Source organism: Homo sapiens, chromosome 17 (assembly GCF_000001405.40).
Source record: "Homo sapiens chromosome 17, GRCh38.p14 Primary Assembly".
Lineage (NCBI taxonomy): Eukaryota > Metazoa > Chordata > Mammalia > Primates > Hominidae > Homo > Homo sapiens.
Window position 1 is genome coordinate 30,352,177 of NC_000017.11, and position 21,144 is coordinate 30,373,320.

Below are 21,144 nucleotides of genomic sequence, written 5' to 3' on the forward strand. Positions count from 1 at the left end.
TTCTTTGGAAAAATGTCCATTCAAATCTTTTGACCATTTTAAGTTTTTTTTTTAATTGTTGAGTTGTAAGACTCTTTATATATTTTAAATACAAATCCCTTAATAGATATATGATTTGCAAATGTTTTCTCTCATTTTGTGGGTTGTCTTTTCTTTTCACTTTCATGATAGTGTCCTTTGAAACAGGTCATGCTCTGTCACCCAGGCTGGAGTGTAGTGGTGTGATTATGACTCACTGCAGCCGTGACCTCCTGGGTTCAAATGACCCTCCCACCTCAGACAGCACCACCCAGCCCCCAACCCCCAGTAGCTGAGATCACAGACATGCACCACCATACCCAGCTAACTGTTAATTTGTTTTGGTTGAGATGGGGGTCCCCATATGTTGCTCAGGCTGTTCTGGAACTCTTGGGCTCAAGGAATCCTCTAGCCTGGCCCTCCCAAAGTGCTGGGATTACAGGCATGAACTACCTACCATGCCCAGCCTGATAGAGGCTTCACAGCACAATTTTTTTTTTTTTTTTTTTTTTTGAGACAGAGTCCTGCTCAGTCACTCAGGCTGAAGTGCAGTGGCACAATCTTGGCTCACTGCAACCTCCACCTCCCGGGCTCAAACCATTCTCCTGCCTCAGCCTCCCGAATAGCTGGGATTACAGGTGCCCACCACCATGCCCGGCTAATTTTTGTGTGTGTGTGTGTTTTTTTTTTTTTTTTTTTAGTAGAGACGTGGTTTCACCATGTTGGCCAGGCTGGTCTTGAACTCCTGACCTTAGGCAATCCGCCCATCTCAGCCTCCCAAAGTGCTGAGATTACAGGCGTGAGCCACCACGTCTGGCCTGTAGCACAATTTTTAATTGTAAAAAAGCTTAACAGTTATTTTTCCTTTTGTCATGTATACTTCTGGTGTCATATCTAAAATACCATTGCCTAATCCAAGGTTATATTTTCTTCTAAGAATTTTATAGTTTTAACTCTTATATTTAGGACCAGATTTATTTATTTATTTTATTTTATTTTATTTATTTATTTTTTGCGACGAAGTCTCACTCCTGTGGCCCAGGCTGGAGTGCAATGGTGTGATCTCAGCTCACTGCAACCTCTGCCTCCTGGGTTCAAGTGATTCTCCTGCCTCATCCTCCTGAGTAGCTGGGATTACAGGCTCCTGCCATCATGCCCAGCTAATTTTTGTATTTTTAGTAGAGACGGGGTTTCACTATGTTGGCCAGGCTGGTCGCGAACTCCTGGCTTCCGGTGATCCACCTGCCTGGGCCCACTAAAGTGCTGGGATTACAGGTGTGAGCCACCATGCTTGACCCAGAATTTATTTTAAGTTAATTTTTGCCTGTGGTGTGAGATAGGAGTCCATATCCATTTTTTTGCTTGTGGATATCCAGTTGACCCAGCACCATTTGTTAAAAAGGCTATTCTTTCCCCCATTGAATGGTCTTGGCACCCTTGCTGAAAATCAATTGACCAAAAATAGTAGGGTTTATTTCTGAATGTTCAATTCCATTCCATTGATCTATATGTCTATCCCTATGCTATTAGCACCCTCTTGATTACTGTAACTTTATACTAGGTTTTGAAATCAGGAAACATGAATCCTTCAACTTTGTTCTTCTTTTTCAAGGTTGTTTTTGGCTTTTCTGAGTCTCTTGCATTTCCATATGGATATTAGGATTAGTATATCAACTTCCACAAGAAAAGATGCTAGTATTTTGATAGGAATTGCATTAAATATATAGATTAGTTTGAAGTATTGGCATCTTACAATATCAAGTCTTCTGATCCATGAACATGGGATGTCTAGGTTTTCTTTAATTTCTTTCAATAGTGTTTTGTAGTTTTCAGTGTACAAGTCTTGCACTTCTTTGGTTAAACTGATTCCTAAGTAGTTTATTTATTCTTTTTGATGCCATTATAAATGAAATTGTTTTCTTAATTTCATCTTTGGATTGTTGTTTGCTAGTGTATATAAATAAAATTAATTTTTGCATGTTGCTTTTGTATCTGGCAACCTTACTGAACTTGTTTATTAGTTTTAATAGGTTTATAATGGATTCCTTAAGGTTTTCTATACGTAAAAGTAAATCATGTCATCTACAAATAGAGATAGTCTTATTTCTCTCTTTCCTATCTGGATGTCTTTTTTTTTTTTCTTATCTAATTGACCTGACTGGAATATCCAGCACAATGTTTAATAGAAAGTGAACATTCTGGCCAGGCACGGTGGCTCACACCTGTAACCCCAGCACTTTGGGAGGCTAAGGCAGGTGGATCACAAGGTCAGGAGATCGAGACCATCCTGGGCAACATGGTAAAACCCTGTCTCTACTAAAAATACAAAAATTAGCCGAGCATGGTGGCGTGCGCCTATAGTCCCAGCTACTCAGGAGGCTGAGGCAGGAGAATCGCTTGAACCTGGGAGGTGGTGGTTGCAGTGAGCTGAGATTGCACCACTGCACTCCAGCCTGGGTGACAGAGCAAGACTCCATCTCAAATAAACAAACAAACCAAAGGAAAAAAAAAAGGAAAGTGAACATTCTTGGTTTGTTCCTGATTTTAAGGGAGCTTTCAATCTTTCACTATTAAGCATTATATTAACTGTGGGTTATATGAATATTTTAATGAACTACTTTTGAGCTACTAGTCCTTTTTTTAAAAATTGGAAATATGATGCACTGTGATAGTAATATTGAAAATGAAAATTTAATCATGGTCCAGTCAGAGGTTTTAGTTGGAAGTAACAGAAACTAACTCTAGCTTATTTAAGCATGAAGGAAGTTTACTGATGACATATTGTAGAGGAGGAGAAAGAAACAGGTTCAGTGAAGGATTGGAACAAGAAGGTCCCAGTAGCAACTAAGACCACAGGCTAAACATTGCCATAAACCCATCCAGGAAGACCATTACTGATGAACCACTAAATGCCACAGCTTGGAATGGGGGCCTCAAAACACTGAATACTGCCCCATTGCAGAAACTCAAGTTGCCCCTAGAAACAGATGTTTCTGCCACCACTGCCACCACTAGGCATCATAACCAATTCCTGATTCTTTGTGTCTCTTGCTCTCAATTGGAGTTGGAGGAAGAAGACTGCAGATGTATTTTCACCCTTGTCTTTCTTACCCTTTGATCTTCTCGTGATGAGGAGGTATAGAGATCCATCATTAAGAGCCCACCTTTGTAATAAGCCTAGGGCAGTTCAAGTATGCAGCAGTGTAGTTGGAAGGAGGTCTTGTGCTGAAGTTGTGTTTATGAGTTACAACACTGCTTTTCCTTAAATTGCATATTTATTTAGGGTGGCTATACTAGTATGTTTTCATGCTGCTGATAAAGACATACTCGATACTGGGAAGAAAAAGAGATTTAATTGGACTTACAGTTCCACATAGCTGGGGAGGCTGCAGAATTATGATGGGAGGCAAAAGGCACTTCTTACATGGTGGCAGCAAGAGAAAATGAGAAGGAAGCAAAAGCAGAAACCCCTGATAAACCCATCAGATCTTGTGAGACTTATTCACTATTTCAAGAACATCACGGGAAAGACTGGCCCCCATGATTCAATTACCTCCCACTGGGCCCCTCCCCCAACACATGTGAATTCTGGGAGATACAATTCAAATTGAGATTTGGGTGGGGGGCACAGCCAAACCATATCAGTGGCTTTGGACAAACTAATGGAAATCCTATAGAGGCTGATGACTGTAGCACCTTTCCACACCAAACATAATTCAGATCCTAGCGGAACCACTTGATTTGATTATGTGAGCTTAGGAAAATTAGTTAGATTTTCTGAGCTTCAGTTTCTTTTTCTTTTTCTTTCTTTCTTTTTTCTTTTTCTTTTCTTTTTTTTTCTTTTTCTTTTTCTTTCTTTTTTTTTTTTAGATAGAGTCTTGCTGTGTCACCCAGATTGGAGTGCAGTGGCGTGATCTCGGCTCACTGCAACCTCTACCTCCCGGGCTGAAGTGATTCTCCTGCCTCAGCCTCCCGAGTAGCTGGGATTACAGGCACCTGCCACCAGGCCCAGCTAATTTTTGTATTTTTAGTAGAGACAAGGTTTCACCATGTTGGCCAGGCTGGTCTCGCACTCCTGACCTCAAGTGATCCACCTGCCTCTGCCTCCCAAAGTGCCGGGATTACAGGCATGAGCCCATGCCTGGCTTCAGTTTCTTTGTCTAGAAAATGGTGACACACTTTCACAGGGTCATTGTGAGAGTGAAAGGGACAATGAACATAAGGCAAATAGGACAGTGTTTGGGACATAATAAGCATTAATAATTAGTGGCTAGTGTTCATATTCTCTGTCAGTCTACTTCTTGGCTACCAGGTCCTTTTCCTTGGAATCAGTCCCAGTGTCTCTTTTTCACTCTAACTTTTGAACCACCTACAGCTCCCAGTCATCTTTCATATGTCAGCTCCCAACCAGTGCCAGTGTTTTTTACCTTGAGTATCTGATCCACCCCAAAACGGCACTGCATCATATTGAACTTGGCCATGCTTTTGGCCAAAAGCTAGAAATACTGTTGGCTGAGAGGCTTAGAAATGCCTCTCCAGCCCTACCATAATCAGCCGTGGCAAGCTGACATGAGGCAGGCCAGAGCAGCCAGGTGTCACAGGCTCTAAAGTTAGGCTGCCTAGAGTCAAACCCACTCATCTCCGCCACTTATCGTTAGTGACTTTGGTGAAGTTATGTAACCTCTGTGTCTCAGTTTCATCTTCTGTAAAATGGGGATATTAATAGTATTATTTTGTAGAGTTATGAGGATTCAATAAATTGATATACGTAAAGCATTCAGAACAACGGTAGGCAAGTAAGCTCTCTAGTCTTTGCTATTATTATTATTATTATTATTATTATTATTATTATTATTCAGTCTGGTACTCAAACCCAAGCACTGGAGAATGAGGGTACAAGGCAGGAAACCCATAACTGGGAATTAAGATGCTAAGATCAAACTGCACACAGCAGAAAGATTGACTGGCTCAGGTTCAACAGTGAGCTGCCAATGTTGGTCCCTCAAAGTTCAGAAGTGGGGCCAGTCTCCAAGCCTGAAGTGTAGCTGTTACAAAGGGCTCACCTGTGCCCCTGAGAAGGCAGCAGGGGGATGGGGGCAACCATGTTATTGAGAAAAAGAGAGCATGGGCTTTATCAATGGATAAATGGCCAATGGATAGATAACGATGGTTTGCTGGCAAAAGAGTAAAAGGATCAGAGCGATGCTTTGTAACAGTGGTCTCCAAAGTGAGGTTTGTGCTAATTCCTGGAATTCATTAGGAGCTGGCTGCCCTGAGCCGCAGAAAAAATATTAGTATTTATATTTATTTTTCTTTAAAAGAATTAAACTTTACTGATGCCCTATATATCAACTGATGCTGGAAGCCACATTTGTCTGAACATGAGTCAAGTGTCATAAATCATAAGAGAGATCTCCCAAGAGGAATTTGTGTGCTGTAGGGTGTCATTAGGCTATTTTTATAAATAAAATAAACAAAAAACACAAGACCTTTAAACTTTAGATAGTAGAATCTTGGGTGGCAGGTTATCTCACTTGGTTAGAGCCCAGTGTTAATAAATCACAGAGTCCTTATAATACTGTAAAGTGAGTTGAAGAGTGACCATCAAAATCAATTGTATCAAATAGGATTATGGGCCATTGAGGGGTAAAGGACTTAAAAGAATTGTCAATTTAAAAAGATGAACTGTGAACTGCACAATTTTTCTCTTACAAAAAGACTAGTGTTCAAAAATTTCTGACCTTTTCTGTGATGACAAATGAATTTAAAAACTGGGCTACCAGGAGAAATTACAATAATCAATCAACTAATTAATAATAAAACAATTACAATAATAAGCACATTTAATTAATATCTTTAAGAAAAAAAATGGTGTTTAACAGTGAATGAAAAGTCACTGTTTTGGGGGGCCAAGGCAGGAGGATCGTTTGAGTCCAGGAGTTTCAGACCAGCCCCGGCAACATAGTAAGACCTCATCTCTACAAAAAAATTAAAGATTAGCTGGGCCTGGTGGTATGTGCCTGTAGTCCCAGCTACTTAGGAAGCTGAGGCAGGAGGATCACTTGAGCCCAGGAGTTTGAGGTTACAGTTTGAGTGCAGCAGCCGAGCTATGATCACACACAGCTCCAGGTATGATTGGGCTACTGCACTCCAGCCTGGGTGACAGAGAGAGTTTGTCTCAAAAAGCAAAGAAAAAGAATAGAAAAGTAACTGCTCTTGCAAAGAAACTCTTTTTTTAATTAAGAAAGCATTTTGAAAATGGATGTCTGGAAGTCAAATTGTCTGTGTTTGCAGACGACATGATTGTATATTTAGAAAACCCTGTTGTCTCAGCTCAAAATCTCCTTAAGCTGATAAGCAACTTCAGCAAAAATCACAAGCATTCCTATACACCAATAAGAGACAAACAGAGAGCTAAATCATGAGTGAGCTCCCATTCACAATTGCGACATTGTTTTTTTATTCCTGAAAATGATATAACTTTATCATTACCTATGAAACATTTATACCTGCATGCTTTACAAAAAACTTGGAAAGAGTCTTTTAATCTATTAATATTCCAGACATAGATTTACAATACTTTTCAATAGCTTGCAAAAATAACTCTTGGACATCAGTAGATTTATTGGCTGAATTTCAATTAAACTTTGTATAGCTGCTGGATAGAAATGAATATTAGGATTTAGCAATGTGTTTGTGGTGCATTTGGCATTGTGTAAATTTGAGACTATATTTCTCAGCTATGATGGCAATTAAAACACGTTTTCAAAATAAAGTTAGAAACACACTTGTGAATCATTTCATCACAAATTGTTAAGCCAATTTTTTTTAAAACAGTGGAATTTACTCAATTATAGTGAGAACAAAAATGTTTTTGTACCTCAAATATATAATATAAAAATTTAAATTAAAAATATTCATTTCTTCTTTATCTCCTTTTAATTTCTATACTTGTGTACATTTATAATATATATATGTTATAGGTGGACATCATTTAGAAATAATATATAATATACATTTATATTAATATATACAATATATTAATATGTAATACACATGTATATATGTAATATATAATACACATGTATATGTGTAATATATAATACACATGTATATAATACACATGTATATGTGTAATATATAATACACATGTATATGTGTAATATATAATACACATGTATATGTGTAATATATAATACACATGTATATGTGTAATATATAATACACATGTATATGTGTAATATATAATACACATGTATATGTGTAATATATAATACACATGTATATGTGTAATATATAATACACATGTATATGTGTAATATATAATACACATGTATATGTGTAATATATAATACACATGTATATGTGTAATATATAATACACATGTATATGTGTAATATATAATACACATGTATATGTGTAATATATAATACACATGTATATGTGTAATATATACATAGTCATAGGTGGACATCGTTTAGAAATAAATAAATTGGGCTGGGCGCGGTGGCTCATGCCTGTGATCCCAGCACTTTGGGAGGCCAAGGTAGGCAGATCGCTTGTGCCTAAGAGTTTGAGACCAGCCTGGGAAACATGTCGAGACCCCATCTCTAAAAAAAATACAAAAATTAGCTGAGTGTGGTGGCACATGCCTGTAGTCTCAGCTACATAGGAGGCTAAGGCCGGAGGATAACCTGAGCATGGGGAGGTCAAGGCTTCAGTGAGCCATGATCGTGGTACTACACTCCAGCCTGGGTGACAGAGTAAGACTCGATCTCAAAAATACAATACAATACAATACAATAAATTAAAATGAATATACTAGAGATTCATGCTCAAGCATTTGTATTGATACGGAGTGTTTTCAAAAGGGTTTGGAACCACTGCTGTAGGAAGACAGGTCTGAGCCTATGTATGAGATAAAAGAACAGAAACGACAAAAAGATGAGAGGACAGAAGGCTAGTCAGTTACTTCTGCAATACGATATTCCAGGCCGGTGTTAATAAGAGGCTGAATTAAGGTGGTGACATTTTCAATGGAAAGGAACAGACTTAATGGAATGAGATAATGAGAAGACGGAAGTAATAAATGTTGACAACCAATGACACATAGAAAGCAGGGGAGAAGGAAGTGTCAGTAACTGAATTGAGAGAAAGACAAAGTTATTGAGGAATAAAACAATGAATTTTGTTTTAAATATGTTGAACTTTAGTGCCTTGGGAACATTAAGTGAAAGGACCTATGGACCAGTTGAAAAAAAGAAACTGGTGCTGGCTTCAGCAGCACATACACTAAAATTGGAATGATGCAGAAATTATCATGGCCCCTGTACAAGGATGACATGCAAATTCGTGAAGGCTTCTGTGTTTCTTTTTTTTTTTAAAGAAAAAACTGGATGACAACGGCTAACAATTACTTTTTAGAGAAGTTCATGTGTTTTGCAATCTAACGTACATTACTGTAAAGATAACATGACTTCGTGGAAACCAACAGCCTTGACTTCTTAAAATATGAACACCTTTTGGAGGCATCCACAACTTGTTTTTCCCCCCAGGACTTCCCACTGTAGCAGAAGACAAAAAAGAGAGAGAATACAGTGGATTAATATGTGGCCATTGCTTTGGGAAACTCAGGTTCCGAACCCACTCTACCATTTTGTAGTAATGAAACTCTGGAGATTTATTTAACACTTCTAAGGTTTAGTCCCCTTATTGTTAAATAATGGCATAATAATACTTATTTTATATACTTATTGTGAGAATTAAATGAGCAAATATATGCAAAGTGCTTATGTCCTTGCCTTGTATAGTTAAGCATTAAATAAAAAATAGTTCTAATTATTATCTATTCACTATAGCTCTTGGAAAATAAATTGACTACTATATTGTCTCTGATCTTAGCCTACTATATCATATTCTACATATTCACATGTGTGTGCTCATACATACACCAAAAAATAAAGATCATTCGCAAAGTTTTTAGTATTTGAAACCTAGACTGAGAAAGAATGTTAAAATTCTCATATTTGGATCAAACCTATAATAATATGATCCTTACATCTACATAGAATTTTTCAGTCACAGAAATTATATACATTCATAAAGCACAACAGAAATCCACCATATCTATACTTGGTGTCCTTTAGGCAGAGAGCAGAGCAAAGTGGAGAATAAAAATATTCAAAGAAAAAAGGTATACTTTCCTGAAATGAAGAACAGAAGCTACAAATTTAAAAGATACAGGCCGGGTGTGGTGGCTCACACCTGTAATCCCAGCACTTTGGAGGGCCGAGGCGGGCGGATCACGAGGTCAGGAGATCGAGACCATCCTGGTTAACACAGTGAAACCCTGTCTCTACTAAATATACAAAAAAAATTAGCCAGGCATGGTGGTGGGCACCTGTAGTCCCAGCTACTAGGGAGGCTGAGGCAGGAGAATGGCATGAACCCAGGAGGTGGAGCTTGCGGTGAGCCGAGATCGCACCACTGCACTCCAGCCTGGGCAACAGAGCGAGACTCTGTCTCAAAAAAAAAAAAAAAAAAGATACACTGTGTAGTAGAAAAAATTAGCATAGCGGAATAGAACTGTGACACAGCTACATGAAGTGACTAAACTTCATGAACTAAGTGCATAATCTTATTGGTATCTAGGTAGAAAACACAAGCCACTTGTAATAGGAAGATGTAAAGCTGAGCTCAAACTCATTCACAATAATCATCCATGCCAAAAGATTATAGAACAATGTTTACAGAGTTCTAAGGAGAAACCAGTGTGACCCAAGAATTTTATACCCAGCTAAATTTCCACTTGTGTATAAGGCCATCAAAAACTAGTCTCAAATGACAAAGGCTTACTTCAGGTAAAACACATATAAACACTGGTTGAAAAAGCTACCTGATGATAAAGTCTAGCCAATTAAGACATTTCTAGGCTTGGCACAGTGGCTCGAGCCTGTAATCCTAGCACTTTGGGAGGCCGAGCTGGGCAGATCACCTGAGGCCAGGAGTTCGTGACCAGCCTGGCCAACATAGGTGAAACCCTGTCTCTATTAAAATACAAAAATTAGCTGGGTGCAGTGGCATGTGCCTGTAATCCCAACTACTTGGGAGGTTGAGGCAGGAGAATTGCTTGAGCCCAGGAGGTGGAGGTTGCAGTGAGCCAAGATCGCACCACTGCACTCCAGCCTGGGCAACAGAGCAAGACTCTGTCTCAAAAAAAAAAAAAGAAAAAAAAAAAGACTTTTCCGAATGAAAAACTAGAAAATGGGAACTATTTAATAAGGCTAATCATGAAGTCTGAATCTATATAAATCTAGAAATAAGGTAAAACAACTATAGATATTACAAAATAGGACCTACATATGTGAATAAGGAAGCAGAGCTGCCGAGCGAAGAGGTGGACATCTGGGTGGTGGTGTGACCCAGTACAGGGTGTCAGAGCCTAAGAGGGCATCATCCACTCAGGGGTGCAGCCCAGCATAGGGTGCCAGAATCTAAGCAGGGTACCTATGTTGGAGGGCTGCTTGAGTGCAAGGAGTGCCTGCATAGGGTGAGACAGGTGTCCATGTAGGGTAGTAGTGGTGGCTCAGTGCAGAGTGTCAGAGTCTGAGCCAAATGAGGAAGGTATCCATGCATGAGGGCGACCTGTTGATGCTATCAGAGCTCAAGCAAGATAAGAAGGGCATCCACATGGGAGCATAGGCTGGCGCAGAGTAAAACCTTGAGCAGCACATAGAGGGACTACCGATGCAGGGTAAAAAGGTTTTTCGTACTTATTTGCCATTTTTTTCTGAAAGTATGTGATTTTTCTTAAAAAGTGCCCTAACATAGATTTCCCCGATATTACAGATAATTACCTGTGGGGAAATGACATAGAAAATATATTTAAAGTATTATTTGATGTATATGTATACAGATACTAGGAGTATCACATTAATCACATGACACTGATTCCTTTCAACTATCTTGCTTTTCTAATACATAAATAATTTTGCATGTGTCATTAAGAAACTTTCTCATGCTGATTTATTAAAGCATTTTAATGCTACTTAAAGAATATGAAGTGTGGCCGGGCGTGGTGGTTCACGCCTGTAATCCCAGCACTTTGGCAGGCCAAGGCAGGTGGATCACAAGGTCAAGAGATCAAGTCCATCCTGACCAACATGGTGAAACCCCGTCTATGCTAAAAATACAAAAATTAGCTGGGCGTGGTGGTGCATGCCTGTAGCCCAGCTACTTGGGAGGCTGAGGCAGGAGAATCACTTGAACCCGGGAGGTTGAGGTTGCAGTGAGCTGAGATCGTGCCACTGCACTCCAGCCTGGAGACAGAGCGAGACTCCATCTAAAAAAAAAAAAAGAATATGAAAGTGTGATGCTGAGTGCGGTGGTTCACACCTGTAATCCCAGCACTTTGAGAGGTGAAGGTAAGAGGATCACTTGAGCCAAGGAGTTTGAGGCTGCAGTGAGCTATAATCACAGCACTACACTCCAGCCTGGATGACAGAGCAATACCTTGTCTCTTTCTCTTAATTTAGAAAAAAAAAAAAAAAAAGGAAGTGGGCAGACTGCAAGTAAACCCTGAGAACTCCTAGATCACCTCAGTTTGCAGCACCCATTCACCTCTTTCCTCACCACTGCCTAAGAAGGCACATGAAGCTTAGTCACTGTGCAGACTCTCAAAACTTTCTGGAACTTCATGCAAAGGTTAAGCCTTGGAACCAACTCTGAATTTCCTTGTGGTTTCAAACTTGTCACATTTTCTTCTCACCTTGTCACCACCCACACAGACTCAGCCTCCTGGATGCATCACGCTTGGGTTGCTTCACTTCCTGGCTCCTGGTAAGCCACAATTGCAAGAGCTATTGCTGGTAAAACTGGTGACCCATTACAGGCACACAAATAAGAACATAGGTGCAGGGGAGCCACAAGTGCACTATCTGAATGTGTCAGGGTGAGAACATTATGTTTCCTCAGCTCTCACTCATCCTCTGGTGGAGAGGACTCTTTGGTCTTCAGTCTTCCAATAACTGTCTATAGAATATTTTTGCATGCTATTCATCTATACCTGAATGCAAGCATGCTTTCAGTACAGAAGAAATGTCATATAGGTCAGAATAATGTTTCAATGGGCTCAGGGTTTTTGTCCCCGGTTGTCCTATCAACCCATTTTGTACTATCTACTGGTAGTGGTTCCAAATTCTGATCTCCGAACTGGTGATGATATGGAAATAATTTTTTCATTATTATTAATCTGTCATGAAATTTTAGAAATAAGAATAATGTGGGAGAACAGGTCTAAATTTCATTTGGTAAAAAAGGAACTCTTTTTTCTTTTTTTTTGAGACAGGGTCTCACTCTGTTGCCCAGACTGGAGTGCAGTGACACAATCATGGCTCACTGCAGCCTCAACTTCCTGGGCTCAGGTGATCCTCCCACTCCAGTCTCTCAGGTGGCTAGGACTGTAGGCATGGGCCACCATGCCTGGCTAATTTTATTTTATTTTATTTTATTTTATTTTATTTAGTATTTTTTTGTAGAGATGGTGTTTTGCCATGTTGCCCAGGCTGGTCTCAAGTTCCTGGGCTCAAGCAATCTGCCCACTTCCCTTGGCCTTGCAAAGTGTTTCTTTTCCTTTTTTTTTTTTTTTTTTTTTTTTTGAGATGGAGTCTTGCACTGTTGCCCAGGCTGGAGTGCAGTGGCGTGATCTCAGCTCACTGCAACCTCCACCTCCCGGGTTCAAGCGATTCTCCTATCTCAGCCTCCCAAGTAGCTGAGATTACAGGTGCCTGCCACCACACCCAGCTAATTTTTTGTATTTTTAGTAGAGACGGGGTTTCACTATGTTGGTCAGGCTGGTCTTGAACTCCTGACCTTGTGATTCGCCCACCTCAGCCTCCCAAAGTGCTGGGATAACAGGTGTGAGCCACTGTGCCCGTCCCAAGAACTCTTCTTTATCCTGAGACTATGTCCTTGTATTTTTAGTTTCAAATATAGCTCTCCTTTCGGGGCCAGGTGTAGTGGCTCACGCCTGTAATCCTGTAATCACGCCTCTAATCCTAGCACTTTAGGAGGCCGAGGCAGGCGGATAACTTTTGTCCACCAATCTCAGCCTCCCAAAGTGCTAGGATTACAGGCGTGAACCACCGCGCCTGACTATTCTTCACATCTTGAAGCACAGCTACCACAGCTGACATAATAGTCCAACAATTTTGTCAGCAAATAGGCCAATCCTTTTTCAAGAATATCAATTCCTCCCCCTTTTGCCACCCAACAGCCTTCCATTCATTAACAACCACACTGGCTACCAGAAATTGGGAAAGAGAAGAGCAGCCACAGTAGCCAGAAAGTTAAGAATTGTCCTCTCCTGAGTCCTCACCTCTTCAAAGGCAGAGGAATGTTTATAGCTGGGTCATCCCTGAAGGCACTAGCAAAGCAGGAATACCAGGATGAGAGTGACAGTGAGAGAAACACTCATCTTTAATTAACGAAATCTGAATTTTGTAATCCCCAAATCTAGAAAGAAGCTATTTTAATGTTAGCATACATGTAAGGTTTATGTCCTCTTGAAAAATCAAATTTAATTTTGAGTTTTCTTTTGGGACAAGGAGACCCTCATCTTTTTAGTGCTTAAGGTCTCTAAGGCTCTCTCTCTCTCTCTCTCTCCCTTTTTCTTTTTTTAATTGAGACACAGTCTTGGTCTGTCACCCAGGCTGGAGTGCACTGGCATGATCTCAGTTCACTGCAACCTCTGCCTCCCGGGCTCAAGTGATTGTCCTGCCTCAGCCACCTGAGTAGCTGGGACTACAGGCGTGTGTCACCATGCCCGGCTAATTTTTGTATTTTTAGTAGAGACAGGGTTTCTCCTGTTGGCCAGGTTGGTCTCGAACTCCTGGCCTCAAGTTACCTGCCCGCCTCAGCCTCCCAAAGTGCTGGGATTACAGGTGTGAGCCACCGCACTCAGCAAGGCTCTTCTTTATCTGGCCTTAATTGTGTTTTCTTCACTTCTGCATGCCTGCAGCCTTGTACTGGCATAAAGACCATGCTTAATCAAGGTCTGTTGAATTAACCAATAAATGAACAAAAGACCTTGGAGAGTAGAATCAAGTGCTGGGAAAGGGACAAAGATAGGGAATGGGGAGCAGGGTGGCATTGGAAAGCACCATAAAAGAACTTGCCTGGAACATCTGCTTCAGATTTGCTGTAATTTCTACCAGTTTTGTCTTATCTTTGGTTACACTAGTTCACCCTCTTTTGTGTGGCTTCATTGTTCTTTCCTTTACTTGAGTGTTTCCCTTGAGCTAGTAATTTTTTCTTATGAAGGTCTTTTGCAGACCTACTCTCCTCTTCTATGTCCCTCCCACTTAGGATTTCCCAGGGAGCTTTGGTTCGTATGTGGGCTTGCAGTATTTGGGTAGCTGCTTTCTCCAGCACTATAATTTCCCTTGTACCATTTTTTTCACCCGGGCCTATAACAGAGAGATGGCTGCAGACTGTTCCCATGAATAGCATCAATCTCTTCACCTTCTGGAGCTTCAGCTTGTACTCTTAAGATGGAATCCAGCTGGCTGGGTGTAAATGTGCTTTGTTTGTGCCAATTCAGTCTCGGCAAGTGTTTTCATCAAAATTAGAGGCTGAAATTGCTGGCTGCCAGGGCATTCCTGGTAACTGAACATTTTTCTGGTTGAAGATGGGAGTCATGCCCTAGGCCCTTTATGCAAGAGTGCACCATCCCAATTTCTTGCTGTTTTTACTGGAGGATGTCTTCAGATCTGGCACACCATACTACATCTGAGCAAGACAGTATTTGGTCCCATTCAAATTTGTTGCTAGAATCTAGGGCCAGCCTTTGTCTAACCTGTAAAATAGGTATAAGGTAGAACCCTGGTGAAACTAAGCTATATTGCCCTGTCTCAGCCCAGATTCACATCCAAAAGAAATCAAAGACCAACTCCTATAAAAGCCTTGAAAAGTAAAGTATGTAAATCTTCACCATTCATTATTCACCTGAAGTGATCTTGAGGGCATCTAGGAGAAAGTTGCTGAGCTCATTATAGAGTACACCGTCACTCTACTAAAGTCGCACACTTCTCAAGAGCTGCTTCCACCCTCATATAAGCTCATTATTACCCTCTTCCCTCTCAGGGGATGCCAATATTTTTTTTATTTGAGGCAAAATTCACATAACATAAAATTAATCATTTTAAAGTGCACAATTGGCTGGGCATGGTGGCTTATGCCTATAATCCCCGCACTTTGGGAGGCTGAGGTGGGCCGATGTCTTGAGCCTAGGAGTTTGAGACCAGCCACGGGCAACATGGCGAAAACCCATCTCCACAAAAAATACAAAAATTAGCCAGGCATATGGTGTGTGCCTGTAGTCCCAGCTACTTGGGAGGCTGAGGTGGGAGGATTTCTTGAGCCGGGGAGGTCAAGGATGCAGTGGCATTTAGTATATTCACAAGGTTGTACAACTATTGGTTCTATCTAGTTCCCTAATATTGTCATTACCCAAAAGGAAACCCTGTACCCATTAAGCAGCCATTCCCCCATTCCCCCCTGCACCAGTATATTTTGTTTTTTTAATATATTTTTAAAAAAACAACAAAACAGAGACAGGGTCTCAGTATGTTGCCCAGGCTGGTCTTGAACTCCTGAGCTCAAAAAATCCTTTCACCTCAGCCTTCCAAGGTGCTGGGATTACAGGCGTGAGTCACCTCTCCTGGCCCTCTTCCAGTAATTTTAAAGGTCCCCTAGGCTATTCAAAAGGGTAGCCAGGGCCAGGCACGATGGCTCATGCCTGTAATCACAGTACTTTGGGAGGCCAAGACGGGCAGATCCCCTGAGGTCAGGAGTTCGAGACCAGCCTGATCAACATGGTGAAACACCATTTCTACTAAAAATACAAAAATTAGCTGGGGGTGTACTCCTGTAATCCCAGCTACTCAGGAGGCTGAGGCAGGAGAATCACTTGAACCTGGGAGGTGGAGGTTGCAGTGAGCCAAGATCATGCCACTGCACTCCAGCCTGCACGATGGAGCGAGACTTCATCTCAAAACAAAAAACAAAACAAGAAAAACAAAAGGGCAGCCAGGGCTGAGAACCGTTAGCGTCATGCGATCTCATTTCCCCTATGCTCTCCCTACTTAGAATGCCACTGTTTATCCAGGTGGCCAAGCAGCTAAATCAAAGATTCTCTTTAGAAATGTGGGGGCAAGTTCTGTTTTTTTGCCCCAGTCACACAGGTACCATTGGCTTTGGCAACCCAACTCCTCCTCTTTCAGTATTTTTCTCCATCATCTGCACTTCATTCTCACTGGCCTTTGCTCTCCAAGAAGCCTGTTAAACAAATCCTCTCTAAGGTAAGAATTCCCACTGTTTCTCCCCATTCCTTAAGGGTCAGCTGATCTCAAGATTCCTTGATGTTTGCCTTTTAATTGACGGAAAAGCCTTTCAGACTCAGAGAACCCCTCTCTAATGGTGCATTTTAGGCACTAAACAGATGGGGAGAGGAAGGAAATGTTTTAGGAATGAAGGAAACTTTTCCAGTTACTCTTCACCTAAGAATGACACATATACTGAACAAAGGATGGGGTTTGCAGTTGGAAGATAGCGTGGTCTTGGGCACCAGTAACCTAATGTCTCAGAGCCTGTATCCTTACCTGTAAAATTATGATAATATTGACCCGGAAGAGTTATATTTCCATAAGTTGCAGCCATAGGTACTGAGTCTGGTTGAAAATGAATTTAATAAAAGGATATTGGTTGGTTCACAGAATTGCTAGGTGAGTTGGCAAAATCAGGGGTTATAAACAGAAAGGAAGAATGCCGCAAAGCAAGCAGCAGAACTTAGGAGACCGCTCTACTGTCACCAAGTACCAGCTGCTGCAGCTCATCCTGCCAGCACCACTGGCGCTGGGGGCTGGGTGTTCTGTTTGCTCTGTTGCCCCAGAAGCTATACATTGCTGCCATTTCCCCCACCACAGCTAGAAAGAATTATCCACAGCCTCTGCTTCTTTGTTTCACTAGCTCCCAATTCAAAGTCTGTCACAGGTTTGTTTGCTTGGTTAAAGCTAGACTATGTGTCTCATGTCCTGTGAGAACAAGCACCTGGCATTTTCAGCCTGCAGAGTGGGAGAAGGCCCTGCCTTCCACCACGACTCCTAAGGTGGGGAGGGTTCGCCGGATGAAGGGAGGGAGTTCAGACACCGGGCATCCAAAAATAAAGACAAAGGTTCCTTTTCCAATTGTGGGGGTTAGTGAGACAAAGTGTATGAAAAGCATAAACGCTGAAGTGCCATGTTGGTATTGCTTAGCAACACTTTGTTCACACTGTCACGTATTGCACTGCATTTCCTTTTTTTCCTCCCTCTCTTCTTCTTTCTGTCTCATACGCAGTTATGTGCCCTCCAGCCCAGGACAGGGCACGCTCATAAATGCCGAATGAATACAATATTCTGCTGCCTTTGCTTGTTTGATGAAGCAGGTTGGTGTTTATTGGTTTGTCCCCGTTGCCAAAGGCCCTGATTTTCATTTGGGGATCCATGTAGTTCATGGGAATCAGATTCCATTCCCAGCACCAGCAATAGGGTTTATATACTAAACTAAGTCGATCAGCATATTCCATATCCCTGGCCATAGCAATTGGTTCAGGAGCAGGCAGGTGACCTAAGGAGTTCCAATCTGAGTTACGCTTGGCAATTTTGCAAGGACAAGAACATCCTCTGTTTTCTTGCTGAACTATGAATGAGAATGCATGTAGCATTGGGAGTTTCTGGCAGCCCTCTTGGAATCACCAGGGGAGTCAGACTTAGAATGAAGTGAACATTGTAGAAGGCAGGGCCACAGGACAAAAAGAAACCAGGTGTTTTGTGCCCATTTAGCCAAAATGGACACAGGAAAAAGCTATGCCCAAATCCAGACTTCTCCTTTGGACTTCTCAGTTATATGAGCCAATAAATTCCATTTATTATTTAAGCTAGAATGAGTCAGGTTTTCTGATTCATACAACTGAAAGTATCTGATACCTGCTTTGCTCCTTCCCTGCCTCATGATAATAGAATTACTGTTTATTCAGTGCTGGCTAATAGAGAGTCTTTTGGAAATACAGATCAAAATTACTATCATGTTCTCACAATTGGGAAACAGCATAATCTATGCCCTAGAAACAGAACTAACTAAAATTTAAAATAGAATAGCCCTACCTAACCTCAGCCAAATTTTAAAAGAAATTTCAGTAAACATCTTTTATTATTCTTTGGCCTAGAAAGATGAAAACATCAAGGAAGTAAGAGAAAACTCTCTTAAACAAACAAAATTAAACAAAACAAGAACACTACACCAGGCCAAGCACAGTGGCTCATGCCTGTAATCCCAGCACTTAGGGAGGTAGAGACAGGAGGACTGTGTGAGCCCAGGAGTTTGAGAACAGTTGGGGCAACAAAGTGAGACCCAGTCTCCACAAAAAATTAAAAAAATTAGCCAGGCATGGTGGTGCACGCCTGTGGTCCCAGCTACAAGGGAGGCGAGGCAGGAGGATTGCTTGAGCTCAGGAGGTTGAAGTTACAGTGAGTCGTGTTCATGCCACTGCACTCCAGCCTGGCTGATAAGAGTGAGACTTTGTCTGATTGTCTGATTAAAAAAAAAAAGTCCACCCCCTACCCTAAATAACACCTCCCCACACCTAAACACCTAAACCAAAACAAACAACAAAACATAATGCAAAGAAAGCAAAATGTATTCTATCTAACCTATAGGGGGAAGTACTATGGAGTGATATCCTACCTGGCTGTCCTAAGGCAGGTTCCTAAAAGCATAGCCTGAGACAGGGATGCTTACGTAAGTGATTTATTGAAGAGTGCCCTTGGGAGAAACCTGAAAGGGATTAAGGGAAGCAGATCAGAAGAAGATGCTGAGCAAGAACGAAAAAAAGAACTCTTACCTCAGCCTGATTCTGCAGAAAGCTCTGCCTGGAGCATAAATTGCTCCAAAGTTTGTCTCATCCAGAGGCAAGGGGGCCTGTATACCAGTAGGATGACCCTGGAAGAGGTGGGGTGGAGGCAGTGTGTGTAATTTCTTAGGCATTTCTGGGCAAAGTAGCTCCTGTCAGCCAAGGTAAATCTTCCCACAAAGATGCAGATGTAAGTAAGCATCAGCTAGGAGATGGGTGCACGAGCCTGGTAGAGAGAATCCGGGCAGACAACCAACAGCACTTGTAAGAACTGATATGGCCAAAGGTTCTCTTGAAAATTCCCTCAATTTGCCCATTTTGAGACTTTATTTAAAAAAAATTTCAGAAAATCATTCATTATTATTATTATTATTTTGCTGCTTGTAACACATTAGCAAATTTATGAAAATTCTAATTGCATGCCATTTCATGTTTCCATCATCCTTGTCTTCTAGGGACAGCTTCTTGTCAGTGCCTCTAATTCTCCTTTAAGTTTATGTGTCTCTGGCTGGGTGGTGGCTCACACCTGTAATCCCAGCACTTTGGGAGGCCAAAGCAGGCGATCACTCAAGGCCAGGAGCTCGAGACCAGCCTGGCCAACATGGCGAAACCATGTCTGTACCAGAAAAATACAAAAAGTAGCCAGATGTGGTGGCGTGTGCCTATAACCCCAGCTACTTGTGAGGCTGAGGTGGGAAAATTGCTTGAACCCAGGAGGTGGAGGTTGCAGTAAGCCAAGACTGCGCCACTGCACTCCAGCCTGGGTGACACAGCAAAACTCCATCTCGGAAAAAACAAAAACAACAACAAAAAAAAAAACAGTTAATATGTCTCTATGGCCCTCAGTTAATTCTTCAATTTCTTCCTCCGCAGGTACTAACCACATTACTGTTCACCTGCATATTGCATTTTATTTTTGTTAATGGTCAGTAAACCTTTAAAGTTACTTACACATCCTTTCTGCAGTTTTAAACCAACATGTACATCTGGTTTTGGCTTTGTTTTTTTGTTTTTGTTTTTGAGACAGAGTTTTGCTCGTCACCCAGGTTGGAGTGCAACGGTGCGATCTCAGCTCACTGCAACCTCTGCCTCTTGGGTTCAAGCGATTCTCCTGCCTCAGCCTCCCGAGTAACTGGGATTACAAGCCCCAGCCAACATGCCCGACTAATTTTTTTGTATTTTTAGTAGAGACGGGGTTTCATCATGTTGGCCAGGCTGGTCTTGAACACCTGACCTCACGTGATCCACCTGCCTTGGCCTCACAAAATGCTGGCATTACAGGCATGAGCCACTGTGCCAGGCCCTACATCTGTTTTAAGTTTAGTTGTTACTTTCATTCTCTCACTTTTTCTCACTGTTAGTTAGATGTGCGCACAATGTACATATACCCTAGAGTGAGTTAAGTGCACTGAACCCCAGCATGTGATGGCAGGAACTCTGGACAGGTTTTGCACACAGCTTAAGTTCCCAGCTGTTCCATGTCCTGCTATTTGACTTGCTTGAGCTGGTGGAGCTTAAAACAAGAATCTTTCTAGGCTGTCCTGATACTCTTCAGAGTTGTGAGCATTGTGTGAGATAACATACCGGAAGGCACACAGAAATATAAGGTGATAGTATTATGCACACTGTGATTGATATGATATTTATATTTCAAATTCCAAATTTGCTTTCAGTTGGTTGCCTTTTGGGTTCTGAGATGACTTCATCTCTTACCAATGTTTCCTGGGCTATAAGTTGCTAGGATTTGACTTTCTCTTGCAGAGGTGACACACAGCGAGTAGTCACTTGTCAAGGTGAGTCAACACTAGGGGGAACCAGGCATTGAGCAAATTGAAGTGGAGGTTTTCAGTGATGCCATCTCTCTTCTTCCTTCTCTATGTTCATCTTCTCAGGAGCCTCCCATGCCCTCAGGGTGGCCGCTGGATTTTCAGAGCCCAATTCACTGGGCTGTAACTACATTTTCCATGAACTCAGACAGACAGCCTCATCAACAAATAAATGAACTAAACAAAGCCAAAAACCTTCTGTTCTATGTCCCATTAGCTTTCAGGTCTAGATGACATGTTAGAAAACTGCTGGGCTCTATTAAGTGTCAATGGCTGGAAACTGTTCTTACCCTCCATTTCTCTCTCCCACTCTTTGAGATGATTATTTCACACCTTCCTCTCTTTTCTCAAACC

The 21,144-nt window shown here is 41.4% G+C and overlaps 1 pseudogene, besides 1 other annotated feature; it reads left to right on the forward strand.

Moving 5' to 3' along the window:
- Window positions 8,287–8,390, forward strand: RNU6-990P (RNA, U6 small nuclear 990, pseudogene; annotated as a pseudogene).
- Window positions 11,544–11,783: an enhancer, noted in NCBI's record as "active region_11994". NCBI's record gives its function as "activates an Ori minimal core promoter by ATAC-STARR-seq in GM12878 lymphoblastoid cells {active_cell/tissue: GM12878}" and the evidence as "EXISTENCE:reporter gene assay evidence [ECO:0000049][PMID:35858748]".